This window comes from Homo sapiens, chromosome 2 (assembly GCF_000001405.40).
Source record: "Homo sapiens chromosome 2, GRCh38.p14 Primary Assembly".
Taxonomy (NCBI): Eukaryota; Metazoa; Chordata; class Mammalia; order Primates; family Hominidae; genus Homo; species Homo sapiens.
The window spans coordinates 113,403,029-113,427,167 of record NC_000002.12 but is presented as its reverse complement, the minus strand read 5'-3'; the positions used below and the strand labels follow the sequence as shown (position 1 = coordinate 113,427,167).

General features: G+C 40.7%; 1 long non-coding RNA gene and 1 gene segment (V, D, J or C), besides 1 other annotated feature; both read right to left on the bottom strand.

Moving 5' to 3' along the window:
- Nucleotides 1–1,102: 1,102 nt before the first annotated feature.
- The window catches only part of LINC02966 (long intergenic non-protein coding RNA 2966), a 101,028-nt gene continuing 77,991 nt past the window's right edge, over nucleotides 1,103–24,139 (bottom strand). Inside the window, exons 3-4 of the long non-coding RNA NR_183358.1 lie at nucleotides 2,593–2,671; nucleotides 1,103–2,270 (exon numbers count right to left, since the gene is read on the bottom strand). This is a non-coding gene — a long non-coding RNA (long intergenic non-protein coding RNA 2966). The remainder of the gene's footprint in view (nucleotides 2,271–2,592; nucleotides 2,672–24,139) is intronic.
- Nucleotides 19,090–20,795, bottom strand: LOC124907873 (immunoglobulin kappa variable 1-39-like). The segment is given in 2 exon segments: nucleotides 19,090–20,593; nucleotides 20,718–20,795. Coding segments are annotated over 2 exon segments (576 nt in total).
- Nucleotides 20,797–20,846: a silencer, noted in NCBI's record as "silent region_11882". NCBI's record gives its function as "represses an Ori minimal core promoter by ATAC-STARR-seq in GM12878 lymphoblastoid cells {active_cell/tissue: GM12878}" and the evidence as "EXISTENCE:reporter gene assay evidence [ECO:0000049][PMID:35858748]".

Genomic DNA, 24,139 nt, shown 5'->3' with positions numbered 1-24,139 from the left:
AGCCCACGAAACCACTTTTTCCTCCTAAACCTCTGGGCCTGTGATGGGAGGGTTGCCATGAAGAACTCTGACATGCCCTGGAGACACTTTCCCCATTGTCTTGGGGATTAACATTCAGCTCCTTGTTACTTATGCAAATTTCTGCAGCCAGCTTGAATTTCTCCTCAGAAAATGGGATTTTCTTTTCTAGCACATTGTCAGGCTGCAAATTTTCCAAACTTTTGTGCTCTGCTTCCCTTATAAAACTGAATACCTTTAACAGCACCCAAGTCACCTCTTGAATGCTTTGCTGCTTAGAAATTTCTTCTGCCAGGTACCCTAAATCATCTCTCTCAAGTTAAAAGTTCCACATATATCTATGGCAGGGGCAAAATGCCCCTAGTATCTTTACTAAAACATAAGAAGAGTCACCATTGCTCCAGTTCCCAACAAGTTTCTTGTTTCCATCTAAGACCACCTCAGCCTGGACTTTATTGTCTATATCACTGTCAGCATTTTGGGCAAAGTCATTCAACAGGTCTCTAGGAAGCTCCAAACTTTCCCACATATTCCTGTCTTCTGAGCCCTCAAAACTGTTCCAACCACTGCTTGTTGCCCAGTTCCAAAGTTTCTTCCACATTTTCAGGTATCATTTCAGCAGCGCCCCACTCTACTTGTACCAATTTACTGTATTGTTTCATTTTTATGCTGCTGATAAAGACATACCTGAGACTGGGCAATTTGCAAAAGCAAGGGGTTTATTGGACTTACAGTTCCACATGGCTGGGGAGGCCTCACAATCATGGCGGAAGGCAAAAGGCACATCTCACATGGAACCAGACAGGAGAAGAGAGCTTATGCAGGGAAACTCATCTTTTTAAAACCATCAGATCTCGTGAGACTTTTTCACTATCCCGAGAACAGCACAGGAAAGACCTACCCCCATAATTCAATTACCTCCCACCGGGTCCCCCCACAACACATAGGAATTCAAGATGAGATTTGGGTGGGGACACAGCCAAACCATATCACCCCCCCCAAAAAAATCCCGTTTAGATTTTTATGTTTATGAATATATGTATATGCATACATGTGCATGCAGAAAATTATAACAGATAGAGTATTACATATGTAAATATGTATTTTTTATATGTACTGATTTGTAGAATAACAATTATAAGTGATATAAGGTGAAAGAAGCAATTTGTTCATAAGTATGTAGCATGATTCCATTTCAGTAAAAATTAACAAAAACATGCTTGTATGTGCATGGGCATATATTAATATGTGCTCATATATATATATGCTATACATATATATATATGTATGCTGATATATGTATGTGGAAGCAATATGTTTGGGATGATACACACCCTTGCAATAACATGAACTACCTTAGGGAGTACTATAGATGACAGAGACAATGGGGGAAGAGGAGCAATGTTACCTTAAAACAAAAACTTTGCATCCTATTACTGGTTACAAGAGGCATATAAAATTATTTTTAAAATTTTAAATAAATATGTTAGCAACCTTTGTATGGATGGAAAATTTTAAATATGTATGAAAATACTGATTGCGTATACCTTTTGAAATTCTACTGATAGGGATTTATCCTACATATTTACATATACAAACATTTATGACATTCATAGCACTATTGTTTTAAAGGTGAGATGTTGGAAACATCCTAGCTATTTAACTATAGGGGAATGGCTAAATAAGTTTGGCTCACTCAAAGGATACCATGGAAGAGCAAGGCTTTGCATCGTATTTCGATATGAAACTGTTAGAAGCACCTTTATTTTGAATAGCCTCTAAGAAAAAGTTGGATAGAAAGAGTCTAAATGAAATATTCTGATTAATAACAGAACCTATACTATAAAATGGTGAATTTCTGATCAGAAAGGTGAAAAGTTCATCTACAGCTTAAGTGGACAAATTTAATTTTCTATAACATTCATATCTGATAGATTAAATAAACAGGTACAATTTCCTTAAGAAACATGCCTTATAAGTTTTATGGTCACTACATTCTTTAAAGTTAAGGGTTACATTCCTGGGAGATTAAATAAAAACTGCAGAGTTAACAGTTGACTTGCCTGAGGAGCTACTTGTTCTTCCTCAGTAGACATTGAAGAGAAAAGTAATGTAATACAACAGAAACAGAGCACGCATCTGATAAACATGTAACAGCAAAAGGGGGCGCACAGGCCTTTGCCCTACCTGGCTGGTGTCCTCTGTTCGTTGTACTTCTGAGGTTGCCAGAATGTAAATGTTCATTTCACTATCTTAAATGAGCAGAGAAATAACCAGAATCAGACTTTGAATTCTAAAAGCTCTTGGATCAAGAAGATTCTGTCTTTCCAACGTTTGCATCAAATAACATCGTGACCTATACTATCTTTTTTAATATTAAGTGAAGCTTAATCAAAATTTTAGGTTTAAAACACAAGAGTCGTTAAAAAGATACATTGTTAGGTAGAAAAACATGCAGAATAGTATGCTGTTTCATTTGGAGGGGAGGAAAAGAAAATAGAAAACGCTTAACATCACAATTTTTATTTTTATTACTTCATGTAAGAACTTCTCTACAACCACTGATTTTCTTACTTGCTTTCTAAGCAATGTAGAATTTTCGTCACCACTTCACCATTAATTTCTTGTTATTAATCCATTGCCGTTTTCCCAGCTGAAAGAGAAAACTTCCTTTTAATTTTCTAACTCATTTTGAAACAATTTCAACTTACAAAAGTTACAAAAATAGTAGAGATTCCCATATACCCTTCACTGTGTTTTCCTGAATGTTAATATCTTACTATCACTACCATGATCAAAAGCAGGTAATGAGCGTCGATACGCTACCATTCACAAAACCAGAGACCTTATTCACATTTTGCCAGTTGTCCCACCGAAGACCTGTTTCTGGGCCAAGATCTAATCCAGGATCCCACGTTGCATTCAGTTGTCACCTCTCAGTCTACTTTAATCAGAAGCATTGCTCAGTCTTTGTCTTCCAGGACCTTGACACTCTTGAGGAGTACTGGTCAGTTGTTTTGTAGAATGTTCCTTCACTTGGATTTGTCTTATGTTTCAGCATGGTTAAATTCAGGTTAGATATTTTTGGCAGGGATACTACAAGTTGATGTTGCATCCTTCTCTGTGCATCACTTCAGGAGGCACATGACATCCACCTGTGCTTTTACTAGAATGTTAACTTTGTCAGCAGGGTTCTGCCACAATAAAATTACTGTTTCCCTGATGCAGTTAATAAGTACCTGATGGGGAGATACTTCGAAACTATGTAAATGTCTTGTGTTTTCATCATACTCTAGCTCACAGTTGATCACCCATTATTCTTTTTCAAAATTACAGCTTTATTAAGGCACAACTTAGCCACTCATTTAAGTGTACAACTCAAGGAGTTTTAATAACATTTATACAGTTGTGCCACAATCATCCCAATCCAGTCTTAGAACACTTTCACCATCCCAAAAAATTCCTTTGTGTCTGCGTACAATTAATCTCTTCAGCTTAGGCCCCAGGTAACCATTGGTCTGCCTTCTGTCTTTGTTTATACAATACACTGAATTTTTTCTCATTATTTACTTGCTTGACTTTTTACTCTGAACAAATATTAGTTTATGAGTGAGAAGACAATTTCTAACACATTGTTTGGTATATGACACAGGAAAGACACCGACCAGCCTGGAAGTCAAGAGAAATAATGGATTCTTCAGTGTCAGACTAAACATAAACTTTGAACATTCTAGATATTAGCAGAACCTAAATTATCCAGTTGCCTTAGATCTTCAGTTAATTCATAAAAATAATTCCAATTAAATTTTCTCTGAATTTATAAAGTCAAAAGCATAACCTTTGATCCTTATAAGCACAAAGCAATTTTGATTTTATCATGTCAACATGCCTTAGAAAAATGGTAAGGTCCAGGGGTTTTGTTTCTTTGTTTTTTTCTTGTTGTCATTTTGTTTTGTTTTCCTTTGGTTTGTTAGTTTTGAAGGCCTTCACTTTTTGGTTTGCTGTTTAAAATTATTTTCTTCTGGAGCCAATTTCATTAACCCAGTGAAATATAATTTCAAGGACATTGTGTCTTACCCACACCCTCCAAGGTATGTTTTATATAATAAGGCAATGTTGTTAAAATCAGGATAATTTTATTTTTAAAAAACGTATATATCTAGCATCTCTCAAAAGAAAATCCTTAGATCTAGCAGTACATGGCCCAAGTTTCCACAGCTGGAGCAAGTTGTGGCCATCCACTTTAGACAGAATATGTTCTTTGGTTTGCCAAGGCCCCACCTATTCCCTATTGAATCACATCACAACTGCTTCATTCTTGTAAGCTCCTTATCTAGCCCTGTTGGACACTTGAGTTTGTTTATGTATTTATTTATATATAAATTTTTATTATATATATCTGTATAACCACAACCACAGATGTGTGCATATTAAAATTTAACTATTTTCCATAGTTAAATTTTGGCAGGGATACTACAAATTGATGTTGTAGTATCAATTGGCAGGGATACTACAAATTGATGTTTCCAATGCCCCACCTATTCCCCATTGAATCACACCACAATAGCTTCATTCTTGTAAGCTCCTTCTCTAGCCTTTCTGGACACTTGAGTTTGTTTATTTAGCCTTAGTAAAGTAAAGCTCACTAATGTTAAACTTACAGGTATCCTCCCCAACACATAAATACCGAATACACTCTACCATTTCTATCTCCCCACACTTCCAACATTTAATTTTGGTTAGATTATTTCTTTTTCATTATTATGACTATGTAAACAATATCCACAGATGAGCTTTATAGTATCCTCTGATTCTTTTTTCATTCCTACTCAACTTTTTATTTTCCCTGAAATTAATAATTTTATGAGTTATAATTTTTAATGAGTTTTTATTGTAGTTTTGGTTGCATAATACCATATATTTATCATTAATTCATTCCCAAGCTCTTAAAAAGTTGCTTAAATCTCCTTTTCGTATGTTCAGATGAATCCAGTATTCTTTTAATTTCATTTTCTTCAAGAAATCTATCCTAGGGTCTTGTGATCTGCTCTGTGTTGGAAATTGTTGCCCCTTATGTTACATGCACAGCTCAGGGATCTTGCTGCAGATTCCCTTTTCTTCTGTCTTGTGCTGAATTCCCTTGATTCCTAAATCCTATGTTTTCCTCTTTCATAATTTATACCTTTATTTTTTGTGGAGCACATCCTCTAGTAGCTTCCTGAGAAAAAGTGTGCATCGAGTGAACTCTTTTGAGACCTTGCATATCTTAAAATGTTTTTAGTATATACATAGATTCAGTTGATGGGGTGGCTCGTTCAGTAATCAGGCTACATTAGGCTATGCTACAGCAACATATCCCTAAAGTCTTAGTGGCTTAATATGACAGGAGTTTATTTCTACTTGCATCCCAGACCAAAGCAGGCCAGCTAACACTCACACAAGGCTACTTTCATTGGGCAGTTCCAGAAGTTGGGAGTCCTTCACTTCAGCTGTCAGAATGAGGGGTGAGAGTGCAGAGAAGGCACTACTACTCTTAATTGTCTCAGACTAGAAGTGGCTTCTTATCCCATTCATACTCCTTTTGTGACTATTATTTATACTATCTGGCCTAAGTCCACAGGGACTGGCAAATGTAGAGATGAATATTTGTTTACTTCATATCCTCTGACACAGTGAAGTTGAGAATTCTGGGTTGGAATTCTTTTCTCTCTCTTTTTTTTTTTTTTTTGAGACGGAGTCTCATTCTGTCACCCAGGATGGAGTGCAGTGGCACGATCTCGGCTCACTGCAACCTCCACCTCCTGGGTTCAAGTGATTCTTCTGTCTCAGCCTTCTGAGTAGCTGGGATTACAGGCATGCGCCACCACGCCTGGCTAATTTTTGTATTTTTAGTAGAGATGGGGTTTCACCTTGTTGGTCAGGCTGGTCTCAAACTCCTGACCTGGTGATCTGCCCTCTGTGGCCTCCCAAAGTGCTAGGATTACAGGCGTGTTCCACCATGCCCAGCTAATTTTTGTATTTTTAGTAGAGACAGCGTTTCACCATGTTGGTCAGGCTGGTCTTGAACACCTGACCTGGTGATCCATCCTCCTCGCCTCCTAAAGTGCTGGGATTACAGGCGTGAGCCACCATGCCCGGCCTCTTTTCTCTTTTGAATGTGGTAGGCACTGCTCTGTGTCTTCCAACTTCCAGTCTCCCAAATTGCTGGTGAGAAACCAGTTTAATTATTGACTCTTGTGTATGACTACTTCCTGTCTTCTGAGCACAGAAACACATAGGATTTTCACTTTGTTTCCAGTTTTTGTAGGCTGAATTGTGTCCCCTGCCCCACTTTCCACCAAAATTCACTCAGTGAAGCCCTAACCCCCAGTAGTTTAGAATATGACTGTATTTAGACGTGGGGCCTTTAAAGAGGTAATTAAGGTAAAATGAGGTCTAATGGGCAATTCTTAACCTAATATGACTGGTGTCCTTTTAAGAAGAGGAGACGAGGACACAGACAACACTGACCAAGGGAAGACAGTATGAGGACACAACTAGAAGGCAGCCATCTGTGAGCTAAGGAGAGAAGCGTCAGGAAAAAACGAAACTGCTGTCACCTCGATCTTAGACTTCTAGCATCCAGAACCATGAGAAAACAAATTTCTGCTGTTCAAGCCACCCAGTCTGTGGTGTTTTGTTACTGCAGCTCTAGCAAACTAATATATCGGTATTTTAAAATCGCACAAATAATGTGCCTTGGGATGGGTCTAACTCCATTCTTTTTTTTTTTTTTTCACTCGAGTAGTCTGTTACAATCTGAGAACTCATGTCCTTGGATTTTCTGGAATTATTTTATTGATTATTTCCTTTCTTCTCTTATCTCTGTTGCTCTTTGTGGATCTCCTCTTATTTAGATGTTGGACTTCTTATTTTAGTCCTTTAATTTTTTTCTTTTTCTTTTCTAACTCTCATTTTCTATATTTTTGCTCTGCTTACTGGGAGATTGGCTCAAATTTATCATCCAAACTTTCTCTGAATTTTTTATTCTACTATTATTTAGTGTTCAAATTTCCCAGAGCTCCCTTTTTGTTTCTTGAATGTCCCTTTCTTAAACAGCATAAGACTGGTTCGTGGGTGCAATACAATATCTCCTCTTACGCCTCTGTGGATATTTTTTAAAGTTGTGAATCAATTGAAACTTTTTACTTTTTACTTTTATTGGTACATAATAGGTATTTATATTTATGGGGAACATAAGATTTTTTTTTTTTTTTTTTTGAGACGGAGTTTTACTCTTGTTGCCCAGGCTGGAGTGCAATGGTGCGGTCTCGGCTCACTGCAACCTCCGCCTCCCAGGTTCAAGTGATTCTCCTGCCTCAGCCTCCCGAGTAGCTTGGATTACAGGCATGAGCCACCATGCCCAGCTAACTTTGTATTTTTAGTAGAGACGGGTTTCTCCATGTTAGTCAGGCTGGTCTCAAACTCCCGACCTCAGGTGATCTGCCCGCCTCAGCCTCCCAAAGTGCTGGGATTACAGGCATGAGCCACGTGCCCAGCAGGTATTTTAATGCAAGTATACAATGTGTGATAACCAAATCCAGGTAAATGGTATATCCGTTGCCTCAAGCATTTATCCTTTTTTTGTGTAACTAACATGCCAATTATACTCTTTTAGTTATTTTAAATGTATGGTAAATTATTGTTGACTGTAGTCACCCTGTTGTGCTAGCAACTATTAGATTTATTCATTCTATCTAACTATATTTTTGTACTCATTAACCACCCACCTCCCACCACAACTACCCTTCCAGCCTCTGGTAACCATCATCCTACTCTATCTCCCTGAGTTCAACTGTTTTCATTTTTAGGTCCCACAAATGAGTGAGAACATGTGAAATTTGCTTTTTTGGGCCTGGCTTATTTCACTTAACATAAGGTCCTCCAGTTCCAACCATGTTGTTGCAAATGACATTTCTCATTCTTTTTTATGGCTGAATAGTACTCCATTGTGTATATGTACCACATTTTAAAAAAATCTATTCATCTGTTGATGGACACTTAAGTTGCTTCCAAATCTTGGCTATTATGAATAGTGCTACAGTAAACATGAGAGTGCAGATATCTTTTCAATATACTGATTTCCTTTCTTTGGGGTATATATCTAGCAGTGGGATTGTTGAATTATGATGGTTCTATTTTTAGTCTTTAGAGGAACCTCCATACTGTTCTCTATAGTGGCTGTACTATGCTCTGTGGATATTAATAATAGTTTTCTTCTCCCAGCATAGTCTTGGTTAGTTCCAAATTATTTTCTTTGTTTGTTTGTTTGCTTTGGTCTCTACCTTTCATGCTCGTAGTTCTCCTTAGATGTCTGATAATATTTGGTAGTCTATTCAAATTTAGGAGTGAGGTACTAAAAGACCTTATTGGAAGTTCTGATTCCATGAATGAAACTTCTTGTCCACCAGCTTCAACTGGGTCATCTGGCTGGGCCGTTTAGTTGGGTCATTCTTGACATCAGCATCTTTATGTCTTTCCTCTGGAAGTGGTCAGATACCCCAGAGAACAATTTTCTAATCTCTAGTGGTCTGGAATTAGAATGGGGTAAAAGACATGGGGTTCTGTTAGGTTATAAATGTTCCCATAAATTTTCACTACCCCTTCATTTATATTACTGAACTCCATCCCCAAATGTGCCAAATGTTCTCCAGGAGGTAACTTTCTCTATTTACCTTATCCAGCCTCTGCCAGGCTGGGAGAGGGACCATTATCTGGCTATACAGGTTTGAAGAGAGGATGTAGGGATCTAACAACTTCTTATACAGACTTATAACCCAATCCTCCTATTTTTGACCCTACCTTTATCCCCATTTTCAGTGGTATCTGACATTTGGAAGCTGTTTGGGAGGTCTATGATGTAGTCAGGTACTTCCGAGTTTTCTCCAAGACAAATTTAGGGATCATCTTTCTCAGGTGTGTTACCTCTTGTCTATATGGCTTCTGAATTCCACAACCTTGTTGTTCTTGTCTTCCTTTCTAATTTCATCATCATTGTGGGCTTCTGCCTTAAAAAAATAATCCCTTTACTGTCATTTTATTAGGTTTCAGAAGAAAGCCAAAGTAAGTGCATTTCTATAATTGATCACCTCTACTCAGTAGTCTATTTTGCATTTTTACAAGGAAATGACAAGTTTACTCAGGAGTGTTTGAAGACAAACAGGCCTGCTTTATAATTTTGCTACTGGCCATCCCTACATTCAGTGCACTTGGTCAACAATTACGTCCACAAAACAGAAATTACAACTCTGACTCGTGCTTTTATCTGAGGAACCACAAGTCATTCACTTTTATGGTTCACTTGTCAACTGTAAGGGAAACTCTAACTGCTAATAACGTTAACTATATAGCCAAAAGGATCTTGTAAAATTCTTCCTATGTTCCTAGCTTTAGTCTTTGCATATAGTTCAAGGTTACTACTAACACTCCCCGACACGTGATTTTCTTCTGAAATACGAAAACCTCCCATTTTTGAGTGTTCAGTGTGTGCTAGAGACTGGGATAGGCGCATTTACATGGATGATCCCATTTAATCCTCCCCAAAACTTACAGTGTCTGGGCCAGGTGCGGTGGCTCACGCCTGTAATCCCAGCACTTTGGGAGGCCAAGGCAGGCGGATCATCTGAGATCAGGAGTTCGAGACCAGCCTGGCCAATATGGTGAAACCCCGTCTCTACAAAAAATGCAAAAATTAGCCAGGCATGGTGGCGCGCGCCTGTAGTCCCAGCTACTCTGGAAGCTGAGGCAGGAGAATCGCTTGAACCCAGGAGGCAGAGGTTGCAGTGAGCCAAGATCGAGGCACTGCACTCCAGCCTGGGCAACAGAGCAAGACTCCGTCTCAAAACAACAACAACAACAACAAAACCCTTATAGTGTCCATGTTATTATCTGTATTTTACAAAGAGGAAAATTGAGGCTCTGAAAAGTTAAAGGGTTTGTTCAACTTAACACGTCTATTAAGTGGTGAAACCAGGGTTTGAATCCAAGTCAGCCTTACTCCCAACCACTTTCCACTTCGTTATGTTGTCTTATTGATGACTTCCTGCCAGGACTTCCCAAGTGTTCATTTTCATGTCTGCAGCTCATTTAATTACTTTTAGTTCCTTTTTCCTTTTCCAATCCAGTCATCTATACTATTTACCCTATGTCAGTGAATGACATCCAGTTGGTTCAGTATTTCAAAATTTCTGGCCCACCTTCTCTTCTCATCTGTATCTGGTTACCTTTTTATCCACCTTATATATCATTTCCTAGGAAAGATTCCATGACCTCCCAAGGATTGACTTTGTACTTTTCATGTGCTTTTACAGCACAAACAGAATCCTCTTTGCCCTATCAAAGTAGTAATTACCAGGTATAGAAATTATCTGTTTGCTTATTTACTCCCCAACTACACTAGGCTCCTAAGGACTGTGGCAATATTCATCTTATTTATGAGTCATATCTACAGCCTAGCACAGTGCCTGGCACATAGCAGGTGCTCACTACATATTTTGTTGAATGAATGCATAAATGAATGAGGTTACACACATACCTCTATGACATAGTTTGGATATTAGTTCCCTCCAAATATCATGTTGAAATTTCATCCCTAATGTGGGAGGTGGGGCCTAGTTGGAGGTGTTTGGGTCAGGGGGGCAGATCCCTCATGAGTTGCTTGGTGTCATTATGTTAGGATTGAGTGAATTCTCACTCTTAGTTCCTGTGGGATCTGGCTGCCTAAAAGAGCATGGCACTCCTCCCCTCTCTCTTGCTCCCTCCCTTGCCATGTGACATGCCTGCTCTCTCTTGGCCTCCCCCCATGGTTGGAAACTTCATGAGGTCCTCACCAGAAGCAGATGCTGGTGCCATGCTTCTTGCAGAGCCTGAAGAACCGTGAGTCAAATAAATGTCTTATTTTATTAAATTACCTAGCCTCAGATATTCCTTTATAACAATGCAAAATGGATTAAGACACTCGTATTTATTAGTCCATTCTCACAGTGCTCGGCTATTTATAAACGAAAGATATTTAATTGACTCATAGTTCTGGGAGGCCTCAGGAAACTTACAATCATGGCGGAACGGGAAGCAAACACATCCTTCTTCACATGGCAGCAGCAAGGAGAGGTGCTGAGCAAAAGGGGGAAAAGTCCTGGATAAAACCATCAGATCTCATGAGAACTCACTCACTATCATGAGAATAGCAGCATGGGCTAACCGCCCCCATGATTCAATTACCTCCCACTGGGTAACATGTGGGGATTATGGGAACTGCAATTCAAGATCAGATTTGGGGGGGACACAGCCAAACTATAACACACTCTGTCTGAATTATTAATAAAATATTTTCTAATCTAAAGTAATGTTCCAATGATATTTTAGCATTTGCCAAATAGAGTTCCATAAAAGAAAAGTCTTTAGTGCATATTATTTATTATTCAGGGTGTAGATACTATTTTAACTTTCACATTCTAAATTATAGTGTGGGTATCAATCTATGAAGTAAGTGCTGACAAGTTGTCAACATTACTGAATTTTATGGTGAAGTTTAAAATTTGAATTTTTATTCAAATATAAATGAAAAGACCATTTTATTCTCAGGTAAAAAATCTATCATGCTTTGATGCTTTTCACTTTAATTGAAAAAAGACTCATTATAAAAGTACAATGCAAGAAATATTTAGAAAAATATTCCTGATCTCCAGTTGTTACTGTACCTAGATTTTTCTTGGGACCTATGTGATAAAACTTATCATGATTCTTGAAGAAATAGAAGTTCATACAACTGTTATCAGAATTTATATAAAATGTTTCTCAGAAAATGTGGTTTCTCCAGCTCGAACATTCTATAACTCTAAGCCAAATTGAAAGAGCAGATTGATGGGATAAAACACAAAGTATGGAAATAAATAATAAACTGCTACCCTGAAAAAGCCTACCTCTGCACATTGTTTAAAAATTGGAAAAAATCCAACTTCTGTGTTCTGATATTCAATGCAAGTCATTAGAGTAAGGTGAGACTCTTCCTGTGGATTCAGATTGAAATCAGGGACGGTGTAGGGAGGCCATGGTCAACTTTTGAGCTACCCTTGAGGGAAGAAATTAATTGACCAAATATTAACTGCCCAAGTATATTCATAGGATGGCCATCCAGTAATGAGAATGAACAGTCTCCAACTAAAGGCAACAATATAGATGAATCTCAGAAACATGATATTGACCAGACAGAAAAGATTCCACTTACATAAACTTCAAAAGAAGATAAAACTGATCTATGACATTAATAGTCAGAATATTCATTATCCTTGAGGGAACTAAACTGGGAAGCCACATGATAGGGCATCTGGAAGCTAGTAATGTCCTCTTTCTTGATCTGTTACATTGGTGTGTTTATTTCATTAGCTTTATTGAGCTATACATTTACCACCGTGTACTTGTCTCTGTATATGTTTTGCATTGAAATAAATTTTACCAATAAAATAATATAGCAAAATAAAGCGTTAACTGCTTACTGTTTTCAATAATATGCTCCTCTCTCCAAGAGGCCCCCCATACAGGCGAAAGTGCCCTGAATTATCACCCCAAATATGGCCTAATGGCAGGATATCTGAAACTATAGTAACAGGATGTTGGAAAAAAAAGTTTCCCTGGGATAATCGAATACAACAAAAGGGGTATTCCAAAACCAGATCACCATATGCAGACCTTATCATGAAAATTCTGAGAACCATTTCCATGACTATTGGATTCCACAAGATTTTTGAAGATATTTTTGGGGGGAGGATTTTATCAAGGAGAATTCCCACTTCTGCTTATAGGGAAGAAAAATGAGGAAGGGCTGCTACTTCTAACAAGGCTTCTTAAGACACCTTTCAGAAAGCTTAAATGACCATTTTCATGAACTTAAATGGAGCTGGGAGACCCAGAGGATGCTGCCTGACTCTGGCCCAACGATGCTAAAGTAGCCTGGGGCACCAGGGTAAGGTGGTATTGGAATCAGCAAGGCTTCTCGGGCCAGGAAAGTCATGAGCATTTTCAGTAGAGCAGATGTGTGCCATGTGGGAGAGATCCAGCCAAGGGTCATTTGGGGTTCTGTCCAGTACAATCACTTAGAGAGCGGAGGGCCCTACCAGCAGGAAGCTAGACGGGGGCTACAAATGTGTCACAAGTAAACACCAAGAACGCATGCAACTAGAGATGCATGAACCAGGTACGATGACCTGTAGGAGAGAAGTCTTCTGGGAACAGTCTTCCAAAGGACCCAAGCAAGCCCCAGGAAAAGCGTCAGTTTTGAACAACCACCAGGCATAGAATGTGCAAAACCAGATTACATCAGTGTCCATTCTGTAAGAGCTTTCTTGTTCCTTAGCATTCCTCCAACAGCAAGAGGTCAGAAATGGTGGGCCAGCTGAGATGGGAGAAGAAAAGAGAAATGGCACAAAGTGGAGAGAAGACACCGACCATACCTCCTTTCCTCTCTTTCCCACCACCGGTGGACAGCCCAAAGCACACTCCAACTGGAGGAAGGTTTGCCATTAAAGATAAGGTGGAGTTTTGATTATTATCTTGGCTAGTAAAAGTCATGGGGTCTGCCCACTATCGTATGGGAGGGGCGAGGATTACACCTACTTAATGCGCTTTGAAGAGGCATTGGGAAACCATAATAAAGATGTGGGATTTTTTTTCTTTTCTTTCTGTCTCAGAATTGGGCACATTTCTGAGATATTCTGCTGCAATTGTGTAAGATTTGTCTGCAAGCCTTAATTTTCTCATTACCTACTTTTTATAAGTCAGGCACAAATAATTGGAACTGCTTATATAGGGAAAATTGTTGAGGCTTTAAAATGTCTCAACGCCAAATGAGAAGAAAGAGAATACATATTCTTTAGTCTTAATTTGGTTCCCCAGGAGCAAACTTGAATCCTGAAACAAGAATTCAAACTCACATAGTTTATTTTGTAGGGAGGAAGGGAATGAAGAGAACACAGGTAGGGGAGAAGAGAAATAAGACAAGGAAGAGGAGAAAATTAATAAAGATAGGCTTCTCAAGCCAATTACCACAGTAGGCAACTGAAACTTAATCCCGCATGAGCACGCTAGGGGCCCATGAAAAACACATGCTTCAGGGTCCCCCGAGGGTTAAAGGAGCTGACGTATTTATACAACAACATCATCATGCACTACTGCCGGGATCCCAACAGAGCCATCCATCACTTCTTATATGGACTCCCTTTGGCTCAAAGCACTTCACCTAGTATTTACTTTTCTCTTACTATTTCCTCTTTTTTTGTGGATGACAGGAAATCACTGGCTAACCAATAATCAGATAAACAGAGCATTTGTGGAAGGAATTCCTCACTCTACATCTTCTCACGAGCATGGCTAATTTATTTCAGATCTGATAGCAATTCCACTTACTTAGAATTTGGATGTCATTCAGTACACACCAGGCCACAACTGAACTGGACAGCCCCTTTTAAATTTCAACAATACTAACATCTCTCACAATAGTTTCTAGCTCCCAGAAAACATAATTTCTATTCTGAAAGAGGATGGGATTAATTCACTTAATTTCAATTCAACAAAATGTACCTATGTATTTATGTATGCTATAGCTAAAATACCATTAGTGTGTGTAGATGATAGATAGATAAGATAGACAGATAGATAGATATTCCCTGCCTTAACAAATTTATAATCAAGAGTTGAAGTAGAAATGTATAAAAATACTATAAAACAAGGCATATTACAATTACTCAAAGCATAAATAAACAAGGTGCTATGCACCATTAAGGAGAGAGCAATAAATTCCAACCAGGTGAAAATGAAGGAAATTTCATTTCCTTCAGAAATGAAATGAATTTGAGTTATGTCTAAGTAAAGTTGGCTCCTGTCCCTAACTGCAAGCTCCCTACCTGTGGTCAAGGTCATGGCTTCAGCTGTCCGCATTTCTGTGTCCATGTTCCAGGGGATTCCTCCAGGTTCCAGGCTGTGCTTTGAATCCCCTTGACTGTAGTCAGGTGTCCCCATTGTCAGCCCTGAGGCTCTTCCCTGAATTCCCCTGCTGGCCTCTGCCCTGCTGGATCCTGCCAGCCTTTGGCTTCGGGGTCTCCCTGCTCACTGCCTCTCAGAACAACCACCTCAGTTCCTCTCTCTGAGAGGTGTGGGCAGATCCCACACTGCCCAGAGCTCTGCCCAGTTCTCTAGGTCTTCAGACTTTGACCTGGCCCAGGTTTTCCATCTGCATGTGAGGAGCAACTGGACACCGGACAGTGGTAGGCCTTGAATGACCAGAAAGTAAATGGACAGGAAGCCAGACAGACTTTGCATGGAATGTGGAAAAGTCCAGAGAAGAATTGGCTCCTTATGACATGAAGAATGAATGAGGTCCCAGCACATAACATGGTGCCTTCTTTTCTCCAGTCCCCTGGCTACTCTTCCAGCAGCATTACCATTGGTATACTTATGCGTACCTCTGTGACCCTTCAACTAATGCTTCATAAGGATCATGACTGTCAGTCTCTTCATGTACCTCAATAACTTGTGCCTCACACCCTTCTACTGATGGCCGTCCACTGCCTTTCAATTTTTCTTTCTGTACACTAGGCAAATTCTGATTCTCTAAACCTTCTATTCAACCTTCAATGCACTCTCCAAATACCTCCTCTTCTCTGAAGCCTTTTTTGCCCAGCATCCTCCAATCTTAGGCAAAACTGATTCGTCCCTTCTTCGTCCCACCAGTGTACCTTAACCATTATTTCTGTAACTGGTTTACTTGTCTATATGTCTTCTTGGGCAATGAGATTCTCCAAAGCAGAGATGTGCCTTATCATTTCCTCGTGCACCTCCTCTCTGTACTGGGCACAGTATCTGGCCCAGAGCAGTGTGGTCACCAGCCTGCCCAGGGCAGAGGAGGTTCGTAAAGAGAAAGGAGAGTTGTTCACAGTGGGGAGACTGACAGCGGGAGCACATGTGCATTCAGGTCATTAGGTAGGAAGCAGGAAGACGAAATGACAAAGTAGCCAATAGCATATCCTTTCATTGTCTTTTATTTGGACCCATTGCCAGAATCAAGAACAAAGAACCTGGAAGCTCCTGGATTTATCTCACCTGGTAGTCTGAGTGGACTCCAGTGATAGGGTGTCTTAGTCCTTTTGTGTGGCTATAAAGGAATACCTGAGGCTGGGTAATTTATTAAGAAAAGAGGTCTATTTAGCTCATGGTTCTGCGGGCTATACGGGAAGCCTGGTGCCAGCATCTATTCAGCTTCTGGTGAGGCCCTCAGGCTGTGTCCACTCATGGTAGAAGGTGAAGGAGAGCTGGTATGTGCAGAGATCACATGGAGAGAGAGGAAGCAAGAAGATGGGGAGATACCAGCTCTTTGTGACAACCAGCTCTCATGGGAACTGAGTAAGGACTCACCTCCAAGAGACAGAATTAATTTATTCAAGAGGGATCTGTCCTCATGATCCAAACACCTCCCATTAGGCCCCACCTTCAATACTGGGAATCATATTTCAACATGAGGTTTGGAGAGGACAAACACCCAAACCATAGCATATAGCCTTTGCAATTTCTTTTAATTGATTGAGCTACCCTACACCAGAATGGGTGAAAAAGGACCTTATTTTTTCTGTATATGGCTGTATTGTTTTGTTAAGAGATGAGTTCCTGCATCAGGACATCATGGGCACTAGCATTTCAAAAATAGTGGAGGCAATAACCTAAGCTCAGTGGCATGAATCCACACTTCACATTTTATTAGCAGTGTAATAATTTTCTAAAAGATTAGTATCACAGATGCTGTTTTTCTTTTGTTTTTCTTGCATCTTGCTCTTTTCTTTACTATTTATGAAATCTTCATTTATTTCTGTGCATTCAACTTACTATCTGCTCTCATTTCCTGTGATTCTGAAAAATTGCCTCTTGAATATATATAGAGCATATCTACAAGAAATCATTTCTCTTCATTTTGTTCATAAATAAGTGTTTTTACTTTACCTTTATTTTTGAAGCATATTTTCACTGGATAATGAATCCTTGGTTGAGTGCCCTCCACCCAGCATGTAAGTATGTAATCTCACTGTCTTCTTGCCTCTATTGGTCCCATAAACAGTTAATCGAGGTTTTATTACTGTTTCCCTGGTATAATGAACCAGTTTTTTTTAATACACTTGAGATTTTCTCTTTGTATGTGATTTAGCATTTGAACTATAATCTGTATAGTGATGCATGTCTTGATGTTTATCCTGGATAAGTTCCATTTTTTTGATCTTATAGACTAATGTGTTTCATTACTCTTGACACATTTTCAATATTTCTCAGGTCTCTCAGGTGTGCCATCTCCCAGAGATGCTTTCTGTGTGGTTATTCTCTGCATTTCACTCTACTGTGTTGCTGTACATTCTCCATTTATGTTATGTCTTAGGCAATTTCCAGAGCAGCCTCAGGGCCAGGCTCTGGAGTGTGGGTGCACTTGTAGTGACAGCAGCTCTGGGCCTGGGGTGGGGCTGGTCCACATGGAAATGGCTCAGGGTCTGAGTTGCCAACACAGGATGAGGTCCTGGAGCCTGGATCTGTGATGATGCAGAGTTGGGGCTGGGAGGCAACCCCTTCCCAGGCCGCACAACAGTGGCTGCTGCTTGGGAGGATGTGGAAAGAAGGTATTGATGCCAGGTCAGAGGAACCAAGAAGGTTGAGAGAGTTTCAGTGCAGGGCCATCTCCTCTTCCTCTCACCTGGGAGCTAGAGTAACAGGAGACAGAGAAGCTGAGCTGGGGCTTCCATGAATCTTTCTGGGTCCTAATTGAGTAGCTCTTCCCCTGAGGTCTGACCTAGGCATTGATATGGGCTCCGGACACCAGCGTGGCTGGGAGGAACATGCAAAGAAGCATGGGAAGGTGCGGAGCTTCCAGCTACAGAGACCACCTGCCTCCTCTTCTTTTCATTGAGAAGCCCCTGCCCAGGTGGTCAAGTCAGAAAGGCTATTGACTTAGCATGGGGGTAGACCTTCTCCTCTCTGGACTCACAATTTAATCCCTGTCCTCCTACCTCACCAATAACCTAGGCTCAGACAGATGGTGTTTAGTACAAATCTCTTGAAAGAAAAAATAAAAACCTATGGTTTCTTTTTCTCTTTCTTCCTGCAACATGCCCATTCATCTTCCTTGCTGCATGATTGCACCTGGCTGAAGTCATTGATCAGAAATTCATCTTCTATACACACTTTTCCTTCGCAGCTTAGACATCTTTTCTATGAGCCCTGAAAACGTTCCATTCTTTGGAAGAACTAGTAAAGGACATCACTTTGTTAGGCCAAGCACTGTGGGTGCATGAGTGACCACAGCTGCAAAGATAAGCAGACTCCAGGCTCAGACTCATCATTGTGTGATTCCACTCCCTGCAGACAGATGATGGTGCATCCACCTGGCCAGGAAAAATGGGGGTGGTATCTTCTCTTCTATAGAGCACTCCACTCTGCACAACACAGCCTTTCACACAGACTCAGACTCTTTTCCTTTTAACAGTTTTGAAAACCTCTGTTCACACCACTGATGGAAACAAGAATCTTATCTGGGGTTTTCTTGTTTTCCTCAGAGTTGTGAACATGTAGTGGTGAGTGAGGTTCCCCTGAACAGGCTGAGAAGCTCTTTAAATCACATTCCATTTAAAATTATTAATAACAATAGTGAAAATGTGTTTTCTTTCTTATGTATGTATCTAAGTAATGTATTCAGTTTTCTTTCTTTGCCAACAAACCTGAAATATCAATTATCTGACTCCTGATATAATCTGGTAAGTTTTGTCTTTTAAATGGAAAGTCAATAAATCTACTATTGTTATAACTTACATAGTACATATTACATGTCATTACATATTAGTATAATATAATCAATTAAGTATGATAATGTTGTATTATTATTGTATGTTTTCAGGAAATACAACCTAAAATACCACTTGAGACAAAGTATATAAGTTCTGAGAATTGTAATTTTCCTTATTTCCTAAAGACTGGGTAAGTAAAATGAATAAAAAAAAGGAAAAGGGAACATTGTCCATATAACAAGCAGTTTAATCCACTCTTTACAATCCTCCCAGACTTCTAGACATGCAGACTCCTGGGAAGAGTGCCCCACTCTGAGCACCTACTGCTTGCCAGGTACTCCCATTACACTGGGATGCAGCAATGCAAATAATAGACAATGGCCCCTGATCCCATGAAGCTCAAATTCCACTAGAGGGAGTCAGCCTATCAAGTGTAAAATCATAAGTAAATAAATTATATCATAAGTCAGAAGGCGAAAAGTGCTTCTGACAAAAGCATGGAGTAGGGTGTCCTATGAACACATACAGAGGGATCATTAAGATGGGAAGCACAGGGTTGGCTTTGGGAGTGAGGGAAGGAACCCAAGGGTCTGGGGAAAAGCCTCACCCCTGAGGGAGCAGTGAGAGTAAAGCTCCAAGGGCAGGACAGTGTGAGGCTTGTTTAGGGCAGAACTAGGAAACCCGAGAGTTGGGAGCCCGGTGAGTCTGAGGTAAGAGCCATGAAAGAGTTTTTATAATTAACAGGGAGGATTCAGGGAAAATGGGGCCAGGAAGGCATTGGAAGGAATTGGCCTTTTACTCTGATCATTCTCTTTGGCTAGGTCTCTTTGGAACAGGACCCTTGCTGGTCAACAGTTAAGCAGGTGCCTTAGAAAATCAGGCAGGTTCTCCAGGCAGAGAGCATCAGCAGCCCCAAACCTGGGCTTCCCAGACATGTCTGAGGACCACATGATTGGCAATTATACCTTCTGAAGTGGCAGATACATTCTGGATTCATGGCGAGATCCAGAGAATCCCTCTTTTTTGCATTTGCATCTTCATTCTCATGCCATCAAGACTTTTAAAGACTGTAGTTTAGACTCTCATTCCTGTTTTTAGAAGAAAAATTCTACTTGGAATTCCAAGAGTGGTGTCTCCTTTATGATATTAATTCCAACTCACACCATAACTCAGACTTCGTAGGTGTAATCATCTCTGTTCTTAATGCAATCAGGAGAGGGTTTGCCCTGTCTGTGCCGCTGGGGATGCCGTGAAGGAAAGATAGTTAAGGTATAGAGGAGGCTTCATGTCACTTTCTACAGAAACTTCAAAGTGTGGATGCAATTTGGGAAATGTTCTCAGCAGATGGAGGCACCAGGAGGAGTAGCTAGGACAGTGCAGACTCACACATCTGCTTCTCTGGGGGGTTTTTGTTATGGCTTGTAACACTGTGAATGGGGTAGTATAATCCTGTAGACAGTAATAAGTTGCAACATCTTCAGGCTGCAGGCTGCTGATGGTGAGAGTGAAATCTGTCCCAGATCCACTGCCACTGAACCGAGATGGGACCCCCGACTGCAAACTGGATGCAGCATAGATCAGGAGCGTAGGGGCTTGCCCTGGTTTCTGCTGATACCAGGATAACCCATTGCTAATGCCCTGACTTGCCCGGCAGGTGATGGTGACTCTGTCTCCTACAGACGCAGACAGGGAAGATGGAGACTGGGTCACCTGGATGTCACATCTGGCACCTGAGGTTGGAAGCATAAAAACAAACATCCACACAATCAATCACGTTATGAGAAGCCCTCCCTGAAAATCCAGCCAGTACCGAATACACTGGCTGAGTAAATTCCTAGTGTTCTCCTTCCTTACCTCGGAGCCAGAGCAGCAGGAGCCCCAGGAGCTGAGCGGGGACCCTCATTTCCATGCTGTGTCCTGGCTGGGACTGACTCCTGCACAGGGTGTGACCAGCCTATAAAAAAGTCTTCAGGGCAGGGAGGGGGCTGGGCTCTGGGAACATGCAAATCAGCAGGGGATGGGGCCCACTGGGCACAGCTGCAGGGCTGGCTCATCTCAGTAACTCAGCACAAGGACAGTGTCCTCAGGATCTCAGGTCGGACCAGGGCAACACAGATTTGTCTTTAATCTGTTTCTTGCTGGGGGTCAATTTGAAACAAAGAATATTTTTTGATAATTGTCGAAATTTGAAATACTGCTGAGTACTTGAGGGAGTAATGTATTCCATTGGCGTATGGGGATTATTTGGGAGAAATTGTTCTCTGTAGGAAACTCAAAGTAAAGTTTTTAGAGTGTGGAATCAGCAGGTCTTAAAAATACTCTGAAAGGGAGGGGGGTACTTTGTGGTATAGTTACATTTCTGTGAGTGTGTAATTGTTCCTTCTTAAAAAAAAAGGAAAAATATCAAGATAATGCTAAATATATTTGTAAGTATTCTATAATAACCTTAAACCATTCTTATTATCAGTGTAAGGTCAAGCAATTCACTGCAGGTGCACAAAGATGGTGCTATAAGTCCTTAATGTGTGTACCACTTACAGTTGCACATTTATGCAAACCTATAGACCTCAATAATGCCCAGAGATTATATGAGCTGCATCTTATTTTTGCTTTGGGGATCTCTATATTATACCTCCTTTTCTGTCATTGGGTATGTTCCCCAGGGTTTATCAGCAGGAAGCGCTGACTAGTGATGCCGGATCTGATTACTTCAAAAAAAAGTTACTTGTTTCTTCCTCCAATTATAGGAGCATGGATTAAGATAAACTTGAAATTACCTAAGGATCAATTGTCTCTAAAGTAAGAAGACCAATACCATATCCACTGAGTAATGTTCTGAGTTGCACTGCCCACCAGCCTGTCCCTGGGTGCTCTGGAGTCTGGATTTCTGGAGAACACATAAAGGAGAGAACTTGGGAAAGATCAGGACAGTGAACCCTCTCTCCTAGTGAGGGCAGCTGCTGCTCAGTGCATGTCCCTGCCTTGCACTATCAATGCCACTTTCCTCTTTCACTGTTTAGCAGTAAGAGGGGACATTCTGACCAAGATGCCAGCCTCCTGTCTGACATCCAGGAAAGAGAGTCTCCATCTCCTATCAAGCAAATGCCCACATATATGGAGAAATCACTTGGATTTGGATAAAACTGGACGCAGATTCGGACTCATTATATCTCACATCATCTCAGCCTGGTTCAGCAACAGAGGAAGTGGATCCACCTACATCAGCATCAGTGGCCTGCAGCCTGGGGTTCTGGGGAGTATTACTGATTCCTGAGTAGAAGTGGCCAAATCACTCTGGTGTAGCATCTGCACACACCCTCCTGCTGCCCATTCAGGGGCCTGAATTTTAAGGAAACTTGCTTGCGTAGGGTGAAATGTCAAAGTTTGATTTTGCCCTCTAAAGTTTGCTTAAAATGAATGGACAAAAGACACATAATAGGAGAAAAAGGCAAACAAATGTATTTAACATGCAGAGGAAAATATCAGAGGAGAGAGATTACCCAGATAACCCAGTGAGGTCCAGGTGCTTATACATCCTTTATCGGGGAGAGGGAGGTGGGGACTGTAACCAACCTAGGGAGAGTAAATGATGTAAAATAAAATAAATGGATCCTCAAAAGAATAGTTAATAGCCTGACTGGATGAAATCAACTTCCAATCTCTTTTGAATTTAACTCCTAGTGCATGTTAATATTCCCTGATAGATCAACATTCCCAGGGAGGGTTTTCTTTTTTTTTTTTTTTTTTTTTGAGACGGGGTCTCGCTGTCCCCCAGGCTGGAGTGCAGGGGTGCGATCTCGGCTCACTGCAGGCTCCGTCTCCCGGGTTCACGCCATTCTCCTGCCTCAGCCTCCTGAGTAGCTGGGACTACAGGCTCCCGCTACCTCGCCCGGCTAATTTTTTGTATTTTTAGTAAATATGGGGTTTCACTGTGTTAGCCAGGATGGTCTCGATCTCCCGACCTCGTGATCTTCCAGCCTCGGCCTCCCAAAGTGCTGGGATTACAGGCGTGAGCCACCGCGCCCGGCCATTCCCAGGGAGGGTTTTCATGACAGTTGGCTTCCTTCTGGAGTAACTGATGTAGGAAAAGAGCCTTTGTCCAATTGATGTTTTCTAAATGCTTTCAGTTTGAAATAAGCACCACACAAATGCAGCATATCCTGAGATGTTATTTCCCAGATCCCTTCTCTTGCAACTGACTTGCCAGGAAACACCATTCCAGAGGGATGCAACTCCAGGGGGAAAGTACAGGTGCTTTTTTCTGGATGGATGCATCTGTCCATGTCTGCATCCAGGCCTTTTTCTTTCACTGTGCTTCTGCTGGTTCCCCATTCCCATCTCTGCCCCTCACTGCTCTCTCTGAGAAAGGCAGCCCTGCCTGCACGCATGGCAGACCACAGGGCTTGGAATGAGCCTTCCCTCATCACTGTGTCCCCTCAAATCTATCTGCTGTTACCTTAATCCCCAAGGCAACAGAATTGAGAGACAGAGCCTAATGGGAAGTGTTTAATCATGAGGGCTCTGCCCTTATGAGTAGATATAAGCCACTATAAGCCGCTATCTTGAACATAGATTTTGATAGTCTGTGACTAATTAAATAATTTTCCTCATCTTCTCAAAAGCTTCATGTGAAAGCAGAAGACCCATGAGAAGACATCTAGAGACTGGCCCTAAAGTGCTTTTCTCCACAGGAATGTCACCCAGGCACTACATCCAGGAGTCTCAGGTGCCACTGGATTCCCATCCTCAGTGAGGCAGAGCTGGGAGAAGGAACGCAGCATTCAAATTTCCTTCAAGTCACTTGCTTAAGGTATACATTGAAGGTTCAAACTAAATTGGAAATATTTTTGTTGTTTTTTACAATTAGCACTTTATTTTTTGTTATTTTTTAAATATATATATATTTTTATTATACTTTAAGTTCTAGGGTACATGTGCACAACGTGCAGGTTTGTTACGTATGTATACATGTGCCATGTTGGTTTGCTGCACCCATTAACTCGTCATTTACATTAGGTATATCTCCTAATGCTATCCCCCCCCATACCCCCACCGCACAACAGGACCCAGTGTGTGATGTTCCCCTTCCTGTGTCCAAGTGTTCTCATTGTTCAATTCCCACCTATGAGTGAGAATATGCGGTGTTTGTTTTTTTTCCTTGTGATAGTTTGCTGAGAATGATGGTTTCCAGCTTCATCCATGTCCCTAAAAAGGACATGAACTCATCCTTTTTTATGGCTGCATAGTATTCCATGGTGTATATGTGCCACATTTTC